Consider the following 19,653-nt stretch of genomic DNA (forward strand, 5'->3'; position numbering starts at 1 on the left):
ATTGGAAGTTTTTTGACTACTGATTCTTTATTTGTTATAGGTCTATTCAGATTTTCTGTTTCTTCTTGAGTCAGTTTGGTCTCGCTCTGTCACCCAGGCTGGAGTGCAGTGGCGCCATCTTGGCTCACTGCAACTTCTACCTCCCGAGTTCGAGTGATTCTCCCACCTCAGCCTCCCCAGTATCTCGGACTACAGGCGCACGCCAGCATACCTGGCTAATTTTTGCATTTTTAGTAGGAACGGGGTTTCACCATGTTGGCCAGGCTGGTCTCGAACTCCTGGCCTCAAGCAATCTGCCCGCCTCGGCCTCCCAAAGTGTTGGGACTACAGGTGTGAGCCACCGCGCCCGGCCTTCAGCTACTCCATTTTTTAACATTTTGCCGCATTTGTTTACATCAAGCAATATGATAGAATCCCTAACCAGTTACTTTTTGCTTAAAAGCTGTACTAGGCCAAAACAAGCGAAGCACCCGTCTGTGTGAGGCAGCGGGTCTGGCTTACAGGCGGCGCCTCAGGGCTCGCTCCCCCTCCGAGCGGGTCTCACTCCCAGAGCGGGGCTCGCCCGGTGTCTGGCCTCCGAGGCCGTGTGCCCAAGTCCCCACCTTGTGCGGCACAGGCCCTTCCCACAGGGGACACTCACGGAAGCTGAACGGACCTTCCCACAGGAGACACTCACGGAAGCTGAACGGACCTTCCCACAGGGGACACTCACGGAAGCTGAACGGACCTTCCCACAGGGGACACTCACGGAAGCTGAACGGACCTTCCCACAGGGGACACTCACGGAAGCTGAACGGACCGACGGAGGTGGCGTGGATGAGCAGCAGCCGCCTGAGCAGTGAGGAAACCCCGCGGACAGCGCGGTAAGGACCCCACCCAGATTACTGGATTTCACCACCGGCCGCCTTCGATGGAGGAGTCCTCAGTCTCCACATCCGCACGGCACAGACGGAGGGGGGGCCCATGGGGCCCCAGCGATGAACCTGTCAGGGGTCCCCTGTACCCTGTAGGCCAGTCAAGCCATCCTTCCCAGCCCTTGCCCCGGGGGCTGAGCGCAGGGGAGGGCCCGGAAGGCAGACGCCACGGAGCCCGGGGCTTCAGGGGGGCGTGGGGCGGAAGCGGGGCCAGGGCGGAGGTCACGGACAGGGTCATCCGGACCCACAAGGAGTCTCAGCCCCGGGCCCGGCGGGAGGGAAGGGGGAAGCCAGGCTCTTCCTCCTAGGGCAGGGCCTGGGCTCCGGGGCAGTGTGACCTCCCGCCCCTAAGCGAGTCCTGCCTCCCCATGAGACCTGAGCTCCTCCAGCGTGGGTGGGAGGCGGACAGAGCCTCCCCCAGAGAAGGCCCTCCTCGGTCCAGCGCTCGGCCAGGACAGGCGCCAAGGCCGCCTTAAGAAATAAAACCAGCAGGCGCGGTGGCTCACGCCTGTAATCCCAGCACTTTGGGAGGCCGAGGCGGGCGGATGGTGAGGTCAGGAGATCAAGACCATCCTGGCTAACATGGTGAAACCCCGTCTCTACTAAAAAATACAAAAAAAAATTAGCCGGGCGTGGTGGGGGCGCCTGCAGTCCCAGCTACTCGGGAGGCTGAGGCAGGAGAATGGCGGGAACCCGGGGGGCGGAGCTTGCGGTGAGCCGAGATGGCGCCACTGCACTCCAGCCTGGGCGGCAGAGCGAGACTCCGCTTCAAAAAAAAAAAAAAAAAAAAAAAGAAAAAGAAAAAAAAAAAAGAAAGAAAACTCCATGATTCATGAGGTAAGACCTGGGAGCTGGCGGCTCGGTGCTCCGGTGCTGCAGAGGCACTCAAGGGGCTCTCCACGTTCGCCTTCCACGTTCCCCTTCGCAGGGACCGCAGCGCCTGGGGCACTTCGCCATGGGCTTGGCCGAAGTGGGCACTAAAGGTGCAGACTCGGTGGAGCCAAGGGGGGCAAGGTCAGCAGCCCTGGGGGCGCAGCCCTGGGGGCCCCGCCGTGGGCCACGCCCAGCGCGTCCAGTCCTCATGGCCGCGTCTATTCCAGGAATGGGGTCCTGGGGTTCGGCACAGGCCTGCTGGGGTGGTGGCCCCACATCTTGCCTGTGTCCCCCCATATTATGCCCAAGGGAGCAACAAAGGCCACCCCTGGGTCCAGGCCTCAGGAGCTCACAGGAGCCCTGAGCCCAGAAGACAGCAGCGCCCTCACGCGGTCCTCAGCAAACCTGCCAGAGCCCAGCAGGTGGAGAGGACTCCGGGAGACAGCAGGAGCTCCGCGACCTCCCTTCCTCTCCCCTCTTCTCCCTTACGAAGTTAGCCGTGTGGTGGCCAGTGTGGCTTAACTCAATGATACAATTTTAAAGATTTCTGGAAAGGACTTAAAAGACACGTGCTTAACTCTGAGAAAAGATTTCAAGGCCAGGCCAGAATGGTGGCTCATGCCTGAAATCCCAACGCTGAGGGAAGCCGGGGCGAGCAGATGGCTTGAGCCCAAAAGTTCAAGACCAGCCTGGGCAACATGGTGAGACCCCATCTCTACAAAAAATAGAAAAAATTAGCCGGGCATGGTGGTGCACACCTGTAGTCCCCGCGACTCTGGAGGATGAAGTGGGAGGATCCCTTGAGTCGGGAGGTCGAGGTTGGAGTGAGCCAAGATGGCACCACTGTACTCCGGCATGGGTGACACAGCAAGGCCCTCTCTCAAAAAAAAAAAAAGAAAAGAAAACTCTAAATACATGGAACTGGCAAACATTAACGTAATGTCAATTACAAAGGTGGCCGTGACACAGGAGGCCCAGAGTGGGGCGGCCCTTGAAGCAGCCTGCAGCGTGGGGATGAGGCCTACAGATGCCTCTGCCTCTTTGACTAATTCCACTTCTGAGACTCTGCCCCAAGGAAATAACCCAAAAAGCTAATTGGTTCCAAGATGTTCCAAGCACTGCTATGGCTAACAGTGACAAACAGAAAAAGACCCAAACACTCGACAATTCGAAGATGGCCCAGAAAACCGTCAAGTATTAAAACTGAGCAAAACCCAATTCCAGGAACATTAAAAATGCCAGTCACGTGGATGCTTAGAAGTTTATCAGAAATTAACGGGAAGAAATGAGAACAGAAAGCCCAGCTGGTCGTGTCTGCACAAGCTCACACACACCGACCACACTCAGGATAGGCACCAAAACCCCCCTTCCCCTCGCAAACCAAGGTCCTTATTCATAAAACACAAATGTAATCCTAGCACTTTGGGAGGCTGAGACAGGTGGATCATATGAGATCAGGAGTTTGAGACCGTCCTGGCCTACATAACGAAACTCTGTCTTTACTAAAAATATTAAAATTAGCTGGGCGTGGTGGCACGCACCTATAATCCCAGCTACTAGGGAGGCAGAGGCAGGAGAATCGTTTGAACATGGGAGGCAGAGGTTACAGTGAGCCAAAATTGTGCCACTGCACTCCAGTCTGGGCAACAGAGTGAGACTCTGTCTCAAAAAACAAAAAAATAAATAAAAATAAAACACAAACGCGAGAACGTGCCCACCAGCACAGATGCAGGGTAGGATGACGCCACAGGAAATCAGCACCCAGGAGGTGAACAGAGCGCGAACATGAGAGCAATCTACGTTTCTCTTTCCTCACTCCTACGAGGAGCTCCAGCAGCAGAGCCGGAGAGCACCAGCTGGCGTCCAGGCTCCACTCTCTTTCCTCACTCCTACGAGGAGCTCCAGCGGCAGAGCCGGAGAACACTGGAGAGCACCAGCCGGCGTCCGTGTTCCACTCTCTTTGACTTTTCACAAACCCAACAGGCAGGCGAAGAGTCTGCCTCTCTGGGTCCCAGAACCCCACAGGATGGGCATGAGCCCCACCCCGCCCAGCCCACAGAGGCGAGTCTGGGTCCCAGAACCCCACAGAATGGGCATGAGCCCCACCCCGCCCAGCCCACAGGGGCGAGTCTGGGTCCCAGAACCCCACAGGATGGGCATGAGCCCCCCTAGGGGCAAGAGACGACAACAGGTGGACAAGATGCGAGCCACCAGCCCACTAGGACCTCGGAGCTGCCATGGGGTGGGTCTCCCTGAAGAAGAGTCAAGCAGCCTTCCTCTCCCCAGCCCCACCCCACCTCTCATACAGAAGACACTACAGCCCCAGGCCTCCCAGCTTCTGACTTCCAGGAGCAGAAGTAAGTTCTTCCACAGGGCAGGAGGGGCCCTGGAAGGATACGACTGTCACCTCCTCTGAAAGTATTTCCAGGAAGCCCACTGTGCTCATAGCCATAGGCAACGCAGAGAGCAGGAAGATCTCGGGGGTGCAGAGAGGGGGTGGCCCATAGGTGACGCAGACAACTGACCCTGACCCCTGGGCCCAGCAGAGATCTGCACGTGTGAGGGTCAGCTCTGAGCTGGGCGACGGGCCAGCCGGCTCACCTTGCAGCCAGGTGAGCTCTACCCCGCTGGGAAGAGAGCTGCTGCTGTCTGACTCCCTGCCACATGAGGACTCAGGACTCACTGGGCAGGTGAGCCATGGTGCAGGAACAAACCCCTTTCATCCAACTCTGCCATAAGACAAAATGTTAGAATCACAGTCCCTGTCACTAAGTAGCACATCTATTTCACCAACTCCCACTTTTCTGCCAGGTCTGGCTCATACATCGTTCAGACCAAGTACTTGCCTGGGAAAAAAAACTAAAGTAAAAATAGCTCTTAGACTCCAAACGTGGAAGCATTAAAATATTCAAAAGAACTGACCCTGCAGATATTGAAACAAGGCTTTAGTGCTGACCCACCAAAGTGGCGGCGATCTTTTCGGAACAAAACTCTCACTAATAGGAAAACTCCAAATTCAGGCAAAATTTGCATCAACTTTTCCTACATAAAAAAAAGAGAAGCAACGGTAAACTACATTTGCATTTTTAGTAAAAACTAAATGAAAATCAACTTGAAATAAGAAAATTAACATTAAAATTTTTCACAAGGCCAGGCAAGGAGGCTCAGGCCTGTGATCCCAGCACTTTGGGAGGCTGAGGCGGGCAGATCACGAGGTCAGGAGATCAAGACCATCCTGGCTAACATAGTGAAACCCCGTCTCTACTAAAAATACAAAAAATTAGCCGGGCAATGTGGTGTGCACCTGTAATCCCAGCACTTTGGGAGGCGGAGGCGGGCGAATCACGAGGTCAGGAGTTCGAGACCAGCCTGGCCAACATGGTAAAACCCCGTCTCTACTAAAATACAAAAAATTAGCCAGGCAATGTGGTGCGCGCCTATAATCCCAGTGCTTTGGGAGGTGGAGGCGGGCGAATCACAAGGTCAGGAGTTCAAGACCAGCCTGGTCAACATGTGGAAACCCCGTCCCTAGTAAAAGAAATACAAAAAATTAGCTGGGTGTGGTGGCAGGCGCCTGTAATCCCAACTACTCGGGAGGCTGAGGCGGGAGAATCACTTGAACCCGGGAGGTGGGGGTTGCCATGAGCCAAGACCACCCCACTGCACTCCAGCCTGGTGACAGAGCCAGACTCCATCTCAAAACAAAAAACAAAACAAAACAAAACAAAAACTACGGCTGGGCGTGGTGGCTAATGCCTGTAATCCCAATACTTTGAGAGGCCAAGGCAGGTGGATCATGAGGTCAAGACATTGACAGCATCCCGACCAACATGGTGAAACCCCGTCTTTACTAAAAATAGAGAAAAATATTAGCTGGGTGTGATGGCGCGTGCCTGTAGTCCCAGCTACTTGGAAGGCTGAGGCAGCAGAATTGCTTGAACACGGAAGGCGGAGGTTGCAGTGAGCCGAGATCGCACCACTATACTCCAGCCTGGTGAGAGTGAGACTCCGTCTCAAAAAAACAAAACAAAACAAAAACAGGCATCAAAATATGAAACAACCCGTGTTTTAAAATACATTAAGTTGGGGCCAGGCACGGTGGCTCACACCTGTAATCCCAGCACTTTGGGAGGCTGAGGCGGGTGGATCATCTGAGGTCAGGAGTTCGAGACCAGCCTGGCCAACATGGTGAAACCTCGTCTCTACTAAAAATACAAAAATTAGCCGGGTGTGGTGGAGCGCGCCTGTAATCCCAGCTATTCGGGAGGCTGAGGCAGGAGAATCACTTGAACCCAGGAGGCAGAGGTTATAGTGAGCTGAGACTGTGCCACTATACTCCAGCCTGGAGACAGAGCAAGACTCCATCTCAAAAAAAAAAAATAAATAAATAAATAAAATACATTAAGTTGGAAATTCCAATGTAAGCATTGTGGCTACACACCAGAGTAACTGCTCCCCTGCCACTGCCCTGCGCGGGCGAGTCCCAGCCCTCCCGCCTCTACCTGGTTCTACTGACGGCTCAGGCAGGAGTTCAAGGTCACAAGGATGCACCCAGCCAGACCTTCAGGTAGGAAGTGTCACAGAACCAAAACTGATCCTTCAGCAAATAAGTAGCATGAAACAGAGAGAAGAAACGCAACTTCAGGGACATCACCACCCACAAGCAGCACATGGCCCTCATCCCAACTCTGATTCAAGTAAAGCCACAGTGAAAATGTGCAGGCCACAGTCAAGAACGCTGAGCCCAGCCCAGCATCGCGACGCTGAGGAAGTGTTGCGGGGTGCCCGGCTGCGTGTGAGCCACACACAACGAAGCACCGAGGGTAAAACTGAGATTTGCTTTAAAACACTTGAGAGAAAAAACAGTGGGAAGGGCCGGGCGCGGTGGCTCACGCCTGTAATCCCAGCACTTTGGGAGACCGAGGCGGGTGGATCACAAGGTCAGGAGATCAAAACCATCCTGGCTAACATCGTGAAACCCTGTCTCTATTAAAAATACAAAAATTAGCCGGGCATGGCAGTGGGCGCCTGTAGTCCCAACTACTAGGGAGGCTGAGGCAGGAGAATGGCATGAACCCGGGAGGCAGAGCTTGCAGTGAGCCGAGATCACGCCACTGCACTCCAGCCTGGGCAACAAAGCAAGACTCCGTCTCAAAAAAAAAAAAAAAAGAAAAGAAAAAAAGAAAGGAAAAAGAAAAAACAGTGGGAGAGAGTGGGAGAGATGAGTAAGACAAGAGCAGAGCACTGGGGGTTCCCGCAGCCAGGCGACGTGGACGTTCTCTCTAATTTTGTGTATGTTTGAAAAGTTCCAAAATAAGTTTTTAAAAATATAATTAGGTTTTAAAATAATAATATAACTTTTACAAAACTGGGAAAATATACAATCCAGCGGTGCAAATGCGGTGAGAGAGAATCTCATCTGGAAACCCACAGGCAGCCCCACCCCTCAACAGGAGGCCCAAGACCTGCCTCTGCAGGGGGAGAGAACCCCAAGACCTGCCTCCTCCCACCCCCAGGCAAGGGTCCTCATTTGGGGTTGACCTCCCAGAGGAGTGCAGCAAGCCTGGGCCTCAGGAGTCTGACTGTGGGTGACAAGCCACAGACACAGCCATGTCCACATCGCACCATGGCCACCGCAGGCAACTTAGAATGCTCGATACTCACCCTACTTCGGAATTAGGAATATCAGATGCACCATTCACAATGCTATGTGCTAAATTAAAGTTCCACATGTTACTACCTCACAAATCAAACTTTCCTGAATTTTAGCAATGATATTTCAGTAGTTGCTACCCTTCATTTTCCAGGGATCTTACTGGATGCACTAAAAATGCTATTGTGAGCTGATCATGGTCTCACATGCCTGGGGTCCCAGCTACTCAGGAAGCTGAGGCACAAGGATCGCTTGAGCCCAGGACGTCGAGGCTGCAGTGAGCTGAGATTGCGCCACTACACTCCAGCCTGGATGACAGAGCAAGACCCTGTCTCAAAATAAACAAACAAAACATGCTATTCTGAAAAGGGGCCACAGCTCACCAGCTGCTGAGAAGACACAAAAGGCCGAGAGCCCAAGTCTGAGCTGAAGGCACAGGTGCAGTGGGCCCAGGTGCAGTGGGCGCAGGTGCAGTGGGCACGAGTGCAAGTGCAGTGAGTGCAATGGGTGCAGGTGCAGTGGGTGCAGGTGGGCACCGGTGCAGTGAGTGCAGGTGCAGTGGGCAAAGGTGCAGTGGGTGCAGATGGGCACAGGTGCAGGTGGGCATAGGTGCAGTAGGTGCAGGTGCAGTGGGTACAGGTGGGCACAGGTGCAGTGAGTGCAGGTGCAGTGGGCAAAGGTGCAGTGGGTGCAGGTGGGCACAGGTGCAGGTGAGCACAGGTGCAGTGGGTACAGGTGGGCATAGGTGCAGTGAGTGCAGGTGGGCACAGGTGCAGTGAGTGCAGGTGCAGGTGGGCACAGGTCCAGTGGGTGCAGGTGCAGTGGGTGCAGATGGGCACAGGTGCAGGTGAGCACAGGTGCAGTGGGTGCAGGTGGGCACAGGTGCAGAAGGTGCAGGTGCAGTGGGTACAGGTGGGCATAGGTGCAGTGAGTGCAGGTGGGCATAGGTGCAGTGAGTGCAGGTGCAGGTGGGCGCAGGTCGAGTGGGTGCAGGTGCAGTAGGTGCAGGTGAGCACAGGTGCAGTGGGTACAGGTGGGCACAAGTGCAGAAGGTGCAGGTGCAGTGGGTACAGATGGGCATAGGTGCAGTGAGTGCAGGTGAGCACAGGTGCAGTGAGTGCAGGTGCAGGTGGGCGCAGGTCCAGTGGGTGCAGGTGCAGTGGGCACAGGTACAGTGGACACAGGTGGGCACAGGTGCAGTGGGTGCAGGTACAGTGGGCACAGGTGCAGTGGGTGCAGGTACAGTGGGCGCAGGTGCAGTGGGCACAGGTGGGCACAGGTGCAGTGGGCGCAGGTGGGCACAGGTGCGGTGGGTGCAGGTGCGGTGGGCGCAGGTGCAGTGGGCACAGGTGGGCACAGGTGCAGTGGGCGCAGGTGCAGTGGGCGCAGGTGGGCGCAGGTGCAGTGGGTGCAGGTGCAGTGGGTGCAGGTGCGGTGGGCACAGATGCAGTGGGCACAGGTGCAGTGAGCAAGGCAAAGGGGGTGCCCAGAGGAGGGCCCGAGTCCTGCTTCGGATTGGGAGGCACAAGCAGCCGCAACACTCAGCTGCCCCTCTTGGCTCCATCTCTGCTCACCCTCAACATGACTCCCTCCCCACCCACCCCGTGTCTCTCCTCACAGGCTCACATCACCCAAGATACTCAAAGCATCTCCCCCATCTGCATAACCCAGCAAAGCAAGGACTCCATGACCTGCTGTGTACCCAGGCCAGGAACCTGACCTGCCACAGGCCCAGGGCTGCGTGCACACTGGCTGAATGCATTAGTTAATATTTTGGTGACGCTGGTTACTTGCCACCTCTGCTGTAAATAACAGCAGCGTCAAGGATACAGTGGCCACGAGAGGTAGCAGCTGCTGATGTGTGGAGAAGCCTCCATAGAGAAATACGTGTGAAAGATGCATCAAGAAAACCCAAGCTGTGATGCTGTTAAGGGCTGAAATGTGTCTGCTGAAGTCCTAAACCTGCAAACGTGACCTTATTTGGAAATAGGGTCTTTGCAAATATAATCAAGTTAAGATGAGGTCATAGTGGATTAGGGCGGGCCCTCACCCAATAGGACCAGCTTCCTTAAAAGAAAAGGAAAAGGCCAGGCCTGGCACGGTGGCTCACGCCTGTAATCCCAGCACTTTGGAAGGCTGAGGCGGGCAGATCATCTGAGGTCAGGAGTTCGAGACCAGCCTGACCAACATGGAGAAACCCCATCTCTACTAAAAATACGAAACTAGCCGGGCATGGTGGCGCATGCCTGTAATCCCAGCTACTCAGGAAGGCTGAGGCAGGAGAATCGCTTGAACCCAGGAGGCAGAGGTTGCGTTGAGCCAAGATCGCGCCACTGCAGTCCAGCCTGGGCAACAAGAGCGAAACTCAGTCTCAAAAAAAAAAAGAAAAGAAAAGAAAAGGAAAGGGCCAGATGTGGTGGCTCATGCCTGTAATCCCAACTCTTGGGGAGGCAGAGGCAGGAGGATCGCTTGAGCCCAGCATGGGCCACATAGGGAGACCCTGTCCCTACAAAAAGTAAAAAAATTAGCCAGGTATGATGGTGCATGCTTGTAGTCCCAGCTACTTGGGAGGCTGAGGCAAGAGGATCCTTGAGTCTGGGAGAAGGAGGCTACAGTGAGCTGTGCTTGTGCCACTGTACTCCAGCCTGGCCCACAGAGTGAGATCCTGTCTCAAGAAAAAAAAATAGAAAAAGAAAAAGAGGCCGGGTGCAGTGGCTCAGGCTTGTAATCCCAGCTCTTCAGGAGGCCAAGGTGGGCGGATCACCTGAGGTCAGGAGTTCGAGACCAGCCTGGGCAACATGGTGAAACCCTGTACCTACCAAAAATACAAAAAATTAGTCAGGCGTGGTGGCACACGCCTGTAATCCCAGCTACTTGGAAGGCTGAGGCAGGAGAATCGCTTAAACCTGGGAGGTGGAGGCTGCAGTGAGCTGAAATGGTGCCACTACACTCCAGCCTGGGCAGCAGAGTGAGACTCTGTCTCAAAAAAAAAAAAAAAAGGAAGAAGAAGAAAGAAGAGGAAAAAACCTGGACACCCGCAGGGGAGACTGTGTGAAGACAGAGGCAGAGGCTGGAGCGAGGCGTCTATAAGCCAAGAGGCACCAGGGACTGTGGTCAACACCTGCAGCTGAAGAGGCAGGAGGACCCTCCCCTGGAGCCTTGGGAGGAAGAGTGGCCCCGTCCACCCCGATGCTGGGTGTCAGCCTCCAGCCCTGTGACAGAATAAGGCTCTACCGTTTTCAGCCACTCAGGCCATGGTCCCATGTAACGCAGCCCCAGGAACTCGCCCAAACAGCAAGCTCACCTACAGAGACTGCACGGCACCACGCTCTGAGTGGTGGCACTGGGGGTCTTCACCCAGGACTCACATGGTCCCATCCGCCAGGGACCCTGCCTTTTGAGTCTGTAGTTTTGAGGTACACTGCAAGGGGCCCTTTGTAGAGCTGGACAAGGGCGCTGGGGTGAGAGCCACTGGCGCCATCCACGCTGCCCCTGCCAGGTGAGGCATGCCTTGACCACGGTCCTGCTGGAAAGCACGTGGCAAAGCCACCCAGAAACCAGATGCAAAGCCCAGAAGCCCTCGGTGCAGCCCCTGCATCCAAGTCACGGTCCCCTCCAGCTGGGCTGCGTAAGGAGGTCCAACCCTGGGTCTTCGTGAGGAGGAGAGCAGCGCAGTGCCGCCCCGCAGTCAGTTCTGCAGAGGGAGGGTGGGCCAGGCCAGTGCGGACCCCCAGGGCATGTTCTACAGCAACAGTGGCCACAGCTCCAGCCAACACCTGGGCACTCGCCATCTCTCCTGATAGTTATGTATTCATGTCAGCATGTCAAGAAAAGCATCACTGGCTGGTCGCGGTGGCTCATGCCTGTCATCCCAACACTTTAGGATGCCGAGGCGGACAGATCACAAGGTCAGGAGTTCGAGACCAGCCTGGCCAACATGGTGAAACCCCGTGTCTATTAAAAAAAAATGCAAAAATTAGCCGGGCATGGTGGCAGACACCTGTAATCCCAGCTACTGGGGAGGCTGAGGCAGGAGAATCGCTTGAAACTGGAAGGCAGAGGTTGCAAGGCAGAGGTTGCAGTGAGCCGAGATCGCGCCACTGCACTCCAGCCTGGGTGAAAGAACGAAACTCCAGCTCAAAAAAAAAAAAAAAAAAGAAGGCCAGGCGCAGTGGCTCAAGCCTGTAATCCCAGCACTTTGGGAGGCCAAGGTGGGCGGATCACAAGGTCAGGAGTTCAAGACCGCCTGACCAACATGGTGAAACCCCGTTTCTACTACAGAATACAAAAATTAGCCAGGCGTGGTGGTGTGCGCCTGTAATCCCAGCTACTCAGGAGGCTGAGGCAGGAGAATCGCTTGAACCCGGGAGATGGAGGTGGCAGTGAGCTGAGATCGCGCCACTGCACTCCAGCCTGGGCGACAGAGTGAGACTCTGTCTGAGAAGAGAAGAGCATCACTGAGACACCAACTCATGACTTCCTGGATGCGCTTCCTTCTTAAGACAAGGCAAAAATTAGGTGAAGTACAAAATGAGGTTGTTATCAATAACATTAAGCGAACAGAGAGCGCACCCGGGATGCTAATGGATGCTGCCTGCCAGCTTTGCTCCCTCCAGGAGCGCATCCCGAAGAAGACGAGCCAGCCCTCACCAGGGTGCAGGTGTGTGTCTCACTCAGACCCTTCCTGACCCTGAATCTCAGGCTCACCCGGAGGCGTCTGTGATCACAGCTCTGCTTCCTGTGAGGGCTCTGCCATGGGCACTCGACATGGCCTTACACAGACACAGGGTCCCACAGACGATGGGACCTCCTACCCTCCCTTCTCCCAAGGTCTCTAGCAATTTCCACACTGAAGAAAGCAAAAACAGCAACAGTGTCCCAGGGGCCAGACCAGAGGTAAACGGATTAAAACAACCACTTCTCGGCCTCCCTGAATGTTACTGCAACGTCTAGTGAAATCCAGTGAGCAGCCGTGAAAATGGCTTTAACTAGATGGGATATCAGAGTTAGTGCCACCTCGTAACTCCCTGCCTCACTCCGCCAACAAGTAAGAAAAGCAACTGGGACGCTCGGAGCACTGACAGCCGCTTTGTCAGTCACGGGACACGCATTTCACCGTCCAGCAGAGGGTGTCTGCTAATGATTTCCGAAAAGTTCTTCAAAACACTCCGAAGTACAGAACAAGTCTACATACAAACTAAAATAAAAGCAACGAAATACTATAGATGTATTTCCATATATCACCGTAGGCAGCGAAACATAACCATTTCCTCAGGCAAAAACATGCAAACTCCCAGTGTATGACGTTAGCAACGTATAACGAAGAAAAGAAAGCAAAAGTCATAAAAACAGTAAACAGGCACACTTTTTTTTTTGTTTGAGACGAAGTCTCGCTCTGTCACCCAGGCTGGAGTGCAGTGGCACGATTTCGGCTCACTGCAAGCTCTGCCTCCCAGGTTCACGCCATTCTCCCACCTCAGCCTCCTGAGTAGCTGGGACTACAGGCACCCGCCACCACACCCAGCTAATTTTGTTTTTTTGTATTTTTAATAGAGACGGGGTTCCACTATGTTAGCCAGGATGGTCTCGATCTCCTGACCTCATGATCCGCCTGCCTCGGCCTCCCAAAGTGCTGGGATTACAGGCATGAGACACCGCGCCTGGCCAATGTAAACAGGCACACTTTTTAAGAAGTATATTATATATATATATTTTTTTTTTGAGACAGAGTTTTGCTCTTGTTGCCCAAGCTGGAGTGCAGTGGTGCAATCTCGGCTCACACAACCTCCACCTCCCCAGTTCAAGCGATTCTCCTGCCTCAGCCTCCCGAGTAGCTGGATTACAGGCGCGCCACCATGCCCAGCTAATTTTGAATGTTTGGTAGAGACCGGGTTTCTCCATGTTGGTCAGGCTGATCTCGAACTCCCGACCTCAGGTGATCCGCCCACCTGGGCCTTCCAAAGTTCTGGGATTACAGGCGTGAGCCACCGCGCCCAGCCTATTTATTATTTTTTTAGATGGAGCCTCACACTGTTGCCCAGGCTGGAGTGCCACAGCACGATCTCGGCTCACTGCAATCTCTGCTTCCCAGGTTCAAGCGATTCTCCTGCCTCATCCTCCCGAAGATCTGGGACTACAGGTGTCTGCCCCCATGCATGGCTAATTTTTTTTTTTTTTTAGATGGAGTTTCGCTCTTGTTGCCCAGGCTAGAGTGCAATGGTGCGATCTCAGCTCACTGCAACCTCCGCCTCCCAGGTTCAAAAGATTCTCCTGCCTCAGCCTCCCAAGTAGCTGGGATTACAGGCATGCGCCATCACGCCCAGCTAATTTTTGTATTTTTAGTAGAGACGGGGTTTCACCATGTTGGCCAAGATGGTCTCAATCTCTTGACCTCATGATCCGCCCGCCTCAGCCTCCCAAAGTATTACAGGCGTGAGCCACTGCGCCCGGCCTTTTTTTTTTTTTTCAGTAGAGACAGGGCTTCACGATGTTGGCCAAGACAAACTCCTAACCTCAGGATCCACCCACCTCAGCCTCCAAAGTGCTGGGATTACAGGCCTGAGCCCCTGTGCCTGGCCATTATTACTATTATTATTTTTTATTTTAGAGAGGGTCTTGCTGTGTTGCCCAGGGTGGCCTTAAACTCCTGGGCTCAAACGCTCCTCCTGCCTCAGCCTCCTGAGCAGCTGGGACTACAAGCAGGCACGCTTTTTTTTTTTTTTCTGAGACGGAGTTTCCCTCTTGTTGCCCAGGCTGGAGTGCAATGGTGCGCTCTCAGCTCACTGCAACCTCCACCTCCCAGGTTCAAGTGATTCTCCTGCCTCAGCCTCCCAAGTAGCTGGGATTACAGGTGTGTGCCACCACGCACAGCTAATTTTTTTGTGTATATATTTTTAGTATAAATGGGGTTTCACCATGTCAGCCAGGCTAGTCTCAAACTCCTGACCTCAGGTGATCTGCCCACCTCGGCCTCCCAAAGTGCTGGGATTACAGGTGTAAGCCACCATGTCTGGTCCAGGCTCACTTTTAATAAGGTGATGCTAAACAGAAATACTTAAAGTACAGAGTAACATTAACCTGAAATGTTTCATTCACTTTGGAAAAAAACAACAGCCACTGTTTAGGAAGCACCGAGGCGGTTTTAAATATCCTGACTCCCTTAGTTTCCCTTCAGAAATAAAAACCTTTGTGATATCACTAACAATTCTCAGAGCACAAGGCTGTCCCGCAGCCTGCCCCAAGCACTTACTCACCAGAAAAACCCAGCCAGTCACTCAGCACACTGCGAGAACTTACACCTTTAACTTCCCCTATCTAAGAAGCTTTTTGCGGGAAAAATTACCATCTGTGCTTTTACTCAATAGTGAGCTCTTACCATTAACATTTTAGAAACATGAACACAGCCCTGATCAAGCGGAACCGATACACTCCCGAAACAGGCAGAAAATCCTAAACACACTTGCAGCACCAGCCAGCAAAGCTGCACTCACAGCGTCGGGAACCGGAGGTGGCTGGGAGAACCGGGAATAAACGACGGGACACACGTCCAGCCTTCCTGAGTTCAAGCGCCCTGAATTCACCCACCAGCACACCCATGGGGGAGACGGGCACTTTTGTATGTGACACGGGCCCCCAATGAGAAAAGCCTGGGGTGCTCTCCCTAGAGCTGACACGTGTACACGCATGCAAAACCCAGCCCTGGGACTGATGGGCTCTAGGCCCCGACAAAGGAGCACAGGAGGCCTATTCCATTTCAGTACAATGGGTTCCGTGATTGGCCAAGGCTGGGCTCAGTCCTACACCAGACTGACAGCTTCCTCACCCTCCCACGCTTGGGTTTAAAGACATGTCCACAGGAAGATGCACCATCAGTCAACGGCTGCTGTTAGGAGAAACAGGAACAGCACTGACCACACGGCGAGCACAGGACACGGCCAACCCGGCAAGCACGAAAACATGAGAGTGAAGCCTACAGTGAGTCTCGGAATTCCAGACCACGGGCCAGGTGCTATGGCTCACACCTGTCGTCCCAGCACTTTGGGAGGCTGAGGCAGGATGAATGCTTGAGCCCAGGAGTTTGAGACCAGCCTGGGCAACACAGCGAGACCCTGTCTGTACAAAACATGTTTTAAAAATGGAAACAAAAAGTCGGGAGCGGTGGCACACACCTGTCATCCTAGCACTTTGGGAAGCCGAGACGGGTGGATCACTTAAGCTCAGGAGTTCGAGACCAGCCTGGGCAACATGGACAAACCCCGTCTGTACTAAAACTTAAAAAAAAAATTAGCTGGGCATGGTGGCGCGCACCTGTGATCCCAGTTACTCAGGAGGCTGAGGCAGCAGGAGAATCACTTGAAACCGAGAGGTGGAGATTGCAGTGAGCCAAAACTGCACCACTGCACTCCAGCCTGAGCGACAGAGCGAGACTCCACCTCAAAAATACATACATAAAATAAAAATAAAAATGGGAACAAAAGGCCAGGCACAGTGGCTCACTGTCATCCCGGTACTTTGGGGGTTCCAGGTGGGCAGATGGGGGTGCACTCGCGCTCAGGAGTTCAAGACCAGCGTGGGCAACATGGCAAAACCTGGTCTCTACTAAAAAAAGTACAAAAATTAGCAGGGTGTGGTGGCACACGCCTATAATCCTAGCTACTCAGGAGACTGAGGCACAAGAATCACTTGAGCCCAGGAAGCAGAGGTTGCAGTGAGCCAAGATCACGCCACTGCATTCCAGCCTTAGCGACAGAGTGAGACCCTGTCTCAAAAAAATAAATAAATAAATAAGATAAAATAAAAATAAAACAAAAATAAAAAAATTGGCCGGGTGTGGTGGTGCGTGCTTGTAGTCCCAGGTACTCAGGAGGCAGAGGTGGGAGGATCACCTTAGCCCAGGTCGAGGCCGCAGTGAGCCATGACTGTGCCACTGCACTCCAGCCTGGGCAACAGAACGAGGCCCCTTCTCAAAAAAAAATTAAATAATTCAGACCAGAAAAAAGGACAATATCCACGTCACACTGCATCCCTGACCACACACTTCCCAGAACAAGTTTTCTCGTTGTGGTGTCTTCCAATTCCTTTTCCTCTGTCCTGATTCCTGTCCTGACCTTTGTCCTCTAGGAACCTTGTGTGTGTGTGTGTGTGTGTGTGTGTGTGTTCTTTGGGACTGCTCCGTTTTCTGTTTGTAAAAGGAAATGTAAACCGTTGAATGGGCTCCCCACAGGACTAACGTAAACGACCAGATTACACTTGAGAAGTGGAGATTTTGAGTGCAGAGAGGAGGCTGTAGGCGAATCAAGGCTTCTTTAGAGACCAGAGGCTCAGGGCAGGGTCGCTGGCCAAAGTCCTCTGTTTCCTTGAATGGGTAACAAGCAGACACGTCCCACCTAAGCATCAGGGCCACCTTCGAGGTTGAGCAGCCGGCCTCCCTGAAGCATGGGAAATTCCGAGTCTTGTGGGTCTGCAGATTCCACACTGAAATGGGAGGAGGAAGAAATGGGGCTGGACCTGGACAAACAAGTGCCTTCTTCAGCCAGTCTGTCCTCCACCCCTAAAGGAGCTGAATAATCTCTACTTCTTTCGAAAATACCTAAGCTGGCTTTGAACTTGCCAAATAAAAGGATACTGCCATTCACCAGATTCAATAATTTAAATGGCATGGAAAGAGAACACCCATTTTATTCAAATAGGGCCACACCAAGACAAGAAAGACTACAGACCATGTTGTCTTGAAAGCTAATTTAGCAAATATCAGAAAAACTCACTTGGCGGTTGCCACAAAAGCCCTGAACCACGCCCTTTTTCCTGAAAGCTCAGGGTCTGCAGGACAACTCAGAGGTTCTAATCCCACCCAAAATTTCACGTGGCCAAGGAACACTTACCGCCTTCCCCCACCCCCGTTCTTCTGGGTGCTCTGAGAGGTGATGTTTCCATCACTGCACCCCCATCTCACCGTCATCAAACCCTCCCTCCCCCATCTTCCCATCACTGCACCCCCATCTCACCGTCATCAAACCCTCCCTCCCCCATCTTCCCATCACTGCACCCCCATCTCACCGTCATCAAACCCTCCCTCCCCCATCTTCCCATCACTGCACCCCCGTCTCACCGTCATCAAACCCTCCCTCCCCCATCTTCCCATCACTGCACCCCCGTCTCACCGTCATCAAACCCTCCCTCCCCCATCTTCCCATCACTGCACCCCCGTCTCACCGTCATCAAACCCTCCCTCCCCCATCTTCCCATCACTGCACCCCCGTCTCACCGTCATCAAACCCTCCCTCCCCCATCTTCCCATCACTGCACCCCCGTCTCACCGTCATCAAACCCTCCCTCCCCCATCTTCCCATCACTGCACCCCCATCTCACCATCATCAAACCCTTCCTGGCTGGGTGCAGTAGCTCATGCCTGTAATCCCAGCACTTTGGGAGACCGAGGCAGGCGGATCACTTGAGGTCAGGAGTTCAAGACCAGCCTGGCCAACATGATGAAACCCCATCTCTACTAAAAATACAAAAATTAGCCGGGCGTGGTGGCGGATGCCCATAATCCCAGCTTCTAGGGAGGCCAAGGCAGGAGATTCGCTTGAACCCGGGAGGCAGAGGTTGTAATGAGCCGAGATCTCGTCACTGCACTCCAGCCTGGGGGACAGAACAAGACTCCGTCTCAAAAAAAAAAAAAAAAACCCTCCCTCCCGCCCACCATCTCACTACCATCAAACCCCTCCCTCCCGGCTTCCCAGGGCCAGTTGTCCCCATGCTGCACAAACAGCCCTGGGCACTTTGTGTCAACAACTCTGTTTTCTGGTTCTATCCCTGCACTTGCTGTTCCTCCAACCAGAACAGCCTTGCTCCACTTCTCAGCCTCTGCAAAGCGGCTGGCTATGGCCAATGAGTGGATTATGAGTGTGTTTCTAGAAAGCCTGTGTGTCTGGATGTGCCCCTCCACAGCCCAGAAATCAACAACCAGGCCTTCGAGTTTCTTCATAACTCAGAAGCTTCTAATCTCTGTGACTTTTTGTGGGATTCTTTCAGGGAAGTCAGTTGGGAAAGCGGCGAATCAACACTGCGACAGGTAATGCTTAGCTTGGGCCGACTTCTCGTTCTTCTGCCCAGTTAAGAGCCATAGTTTTGCTCCCCATGCCCCAGCAGATAAGCAAAGCCTCTGTCCATCCGGCGGGTGACCCACACTAAGAAGACGACTTGCCCAGAGTAACGTGGGCCACGCGGTCCAGGTGTGTCCACCTCTCACAAAGGCAGCTGTCAACACCGGGAGTTCCTAAGCCCTCTGCACGTAGCCCAAGGCACAGCAGTGCCCCTCTCCACATCTCCACAGAGGAGCACCGACGCAGGCCTCGTGTGCAGCGATATGCCAGCGAATGGGAAGGCTTTCTGTGCAAGAGGCTTCATTTTCTTCATTTTCTTCAGAGTGGTTGGAAGAGATGATGTGATGCACTTTTGTAAACGAAAATGTCTTACAAACAAAGTATCTGTGTGTCCCATGCAAGCAGCAATGCTGCCCGACTTTCAGATAAATGAAGACATTTTTAGAAACTGATTGTTCACACACATATGTGGCTCTTTTCCATTTTGGGGGAAACTGAGAAGGACTGAGTCGCTAGTAAGTCAGAGATGCTCAAAGAGAAACCAAGAGGAGCCCGGGGGCGACACCTGGGCCGACAATGACAGGCCCAGAGAAGAAATGCTTTGGCTGGGCACGGTGGCTCATGCCTGTAATCCCAGCACTTTGGGAGGCCGAGGCGGGTGAATCATGAGGTCAGGAGATCGAGACCATCCTGGCTAACATGGTGAAACCCCATCTCTACTTAAAAAAAAAAAAAAAATTAGCCGGGCATGTTGGCAGACGCCTGTAGTCCCAGCTACTCCGGAGGCTGAGGCAGGAGAATGGGGTGAACCCGGAAGGTGGAGCTTGCAGTGAGCCGACATCGCGCCGCTGCACTCCAGCCTGCGCGACAGAGCGAGACTCCCTCTCAAAAAAAGAAATGCTTCACGGATGACTTTTCCAAAAAGACAGCGAGTGTCCTTGGGAAGGCATTATGTGTGCTGAACCAAGTCTTCAGAAGGTACAACGTGAAACTCAACTGCTCCTCATGCCTACCCCCACAGCTGACCAGCTCCCAAAAGCTGCCTCCTACGTACAGTGGCCCTGCCCTCCGGCCAGCAATCCACTCTCCGGGAAGCAGGGTTTGGAAT

General features: G+C 53.5%; 1 protein-coding gene and 1 long non-coding RNA gene across 11 annotated transcripts in view, besides 2 other annotated features; one reads left to right on the top strand and one right to left on the bottom strand.

Annotated features, from left to right (window-relative positions):
• Positions 1-19,653, bottom strand: part of ZBTB46 (zinc finger and BTB domain containing 46) — a 90,226-nt gene that overhangs the window by 63,623 nt on the left and 6,950 nt on the right. The window contains exon 1 of one of the 10 annotated variants that reach the window (XM_047439901.1): positions 16,827-17,192. The exons of the other annotated variants lie outside the window; for them this stretch is intronic. The gene's annotated coding sequence lies outside the window, so the exon portion shown is untranslated. Of the gene's footprint in view, positions 1-16,826; positions 17,193-19,653 lie in introns of those variants that run through there. 10 annotated transcript variants of the gene reach the window in all.
• Positions 784-15,723, top strand: ZBTB46-AS1 (ZBTB46 antisense RNA 1). Its single transcript, NR_110081.1, has 3 exons — positions 784-863; positions 13,458-13,579; positions 14,830-15,723. It is a non-coding gene; the product is annotated as a ZBTB46 antisense RNA 1 (long non-coding RNA).
• Positions 7,723-8,473: an enhancer, noted in NCBI's record as "H3K27ac-H3K4me1 hESC enhancer chr20:62446368-62447118 (GRCh37/hg19 assembly coordinates)". NCBI's record gives its function as "activates a minimal SCP1, AML or CMV promoter by ChIP-STARR-seq in naive H9 embryonic stem cells {active_cell/tissue: H9 hESC(naive)}" and the evidence as "EXISTENCE:reporter gene assay evidence [ECO:0000049][PMID:30033119]".
• Positions 8,474-9,224: an enhancer, noted in NCBI's record as "H3K27ac-H3K4me1 hESC enhancer chr20:62447119-62447869 (GRCh37/hg19 assembly coordinates)". NCBI's record gives its function as "activates a minimal SCP1, AML or CMV promoter by ChIP-STARR-seq in naive H9 embryonic stem cells {active_cell/tissue: H9 hESC(naive)}" and the evidence as "EXISTENCE:reporter gene assay evidence [ECO:0000049][PMID:30033119]".

Source organism: Homo sapiens, chromosome 20, assembly GCF_000001405.40.
Source record: "Homo sapiens chromosome 20, GRCh38.p14 Primary Assembly".
Taxonomy (NCBI): domain Eukaryota; kingdom Metazoa; phylum Chordata; class Mammalia; order Primates; family Hominidae; genus Homo; species Homo sapiens.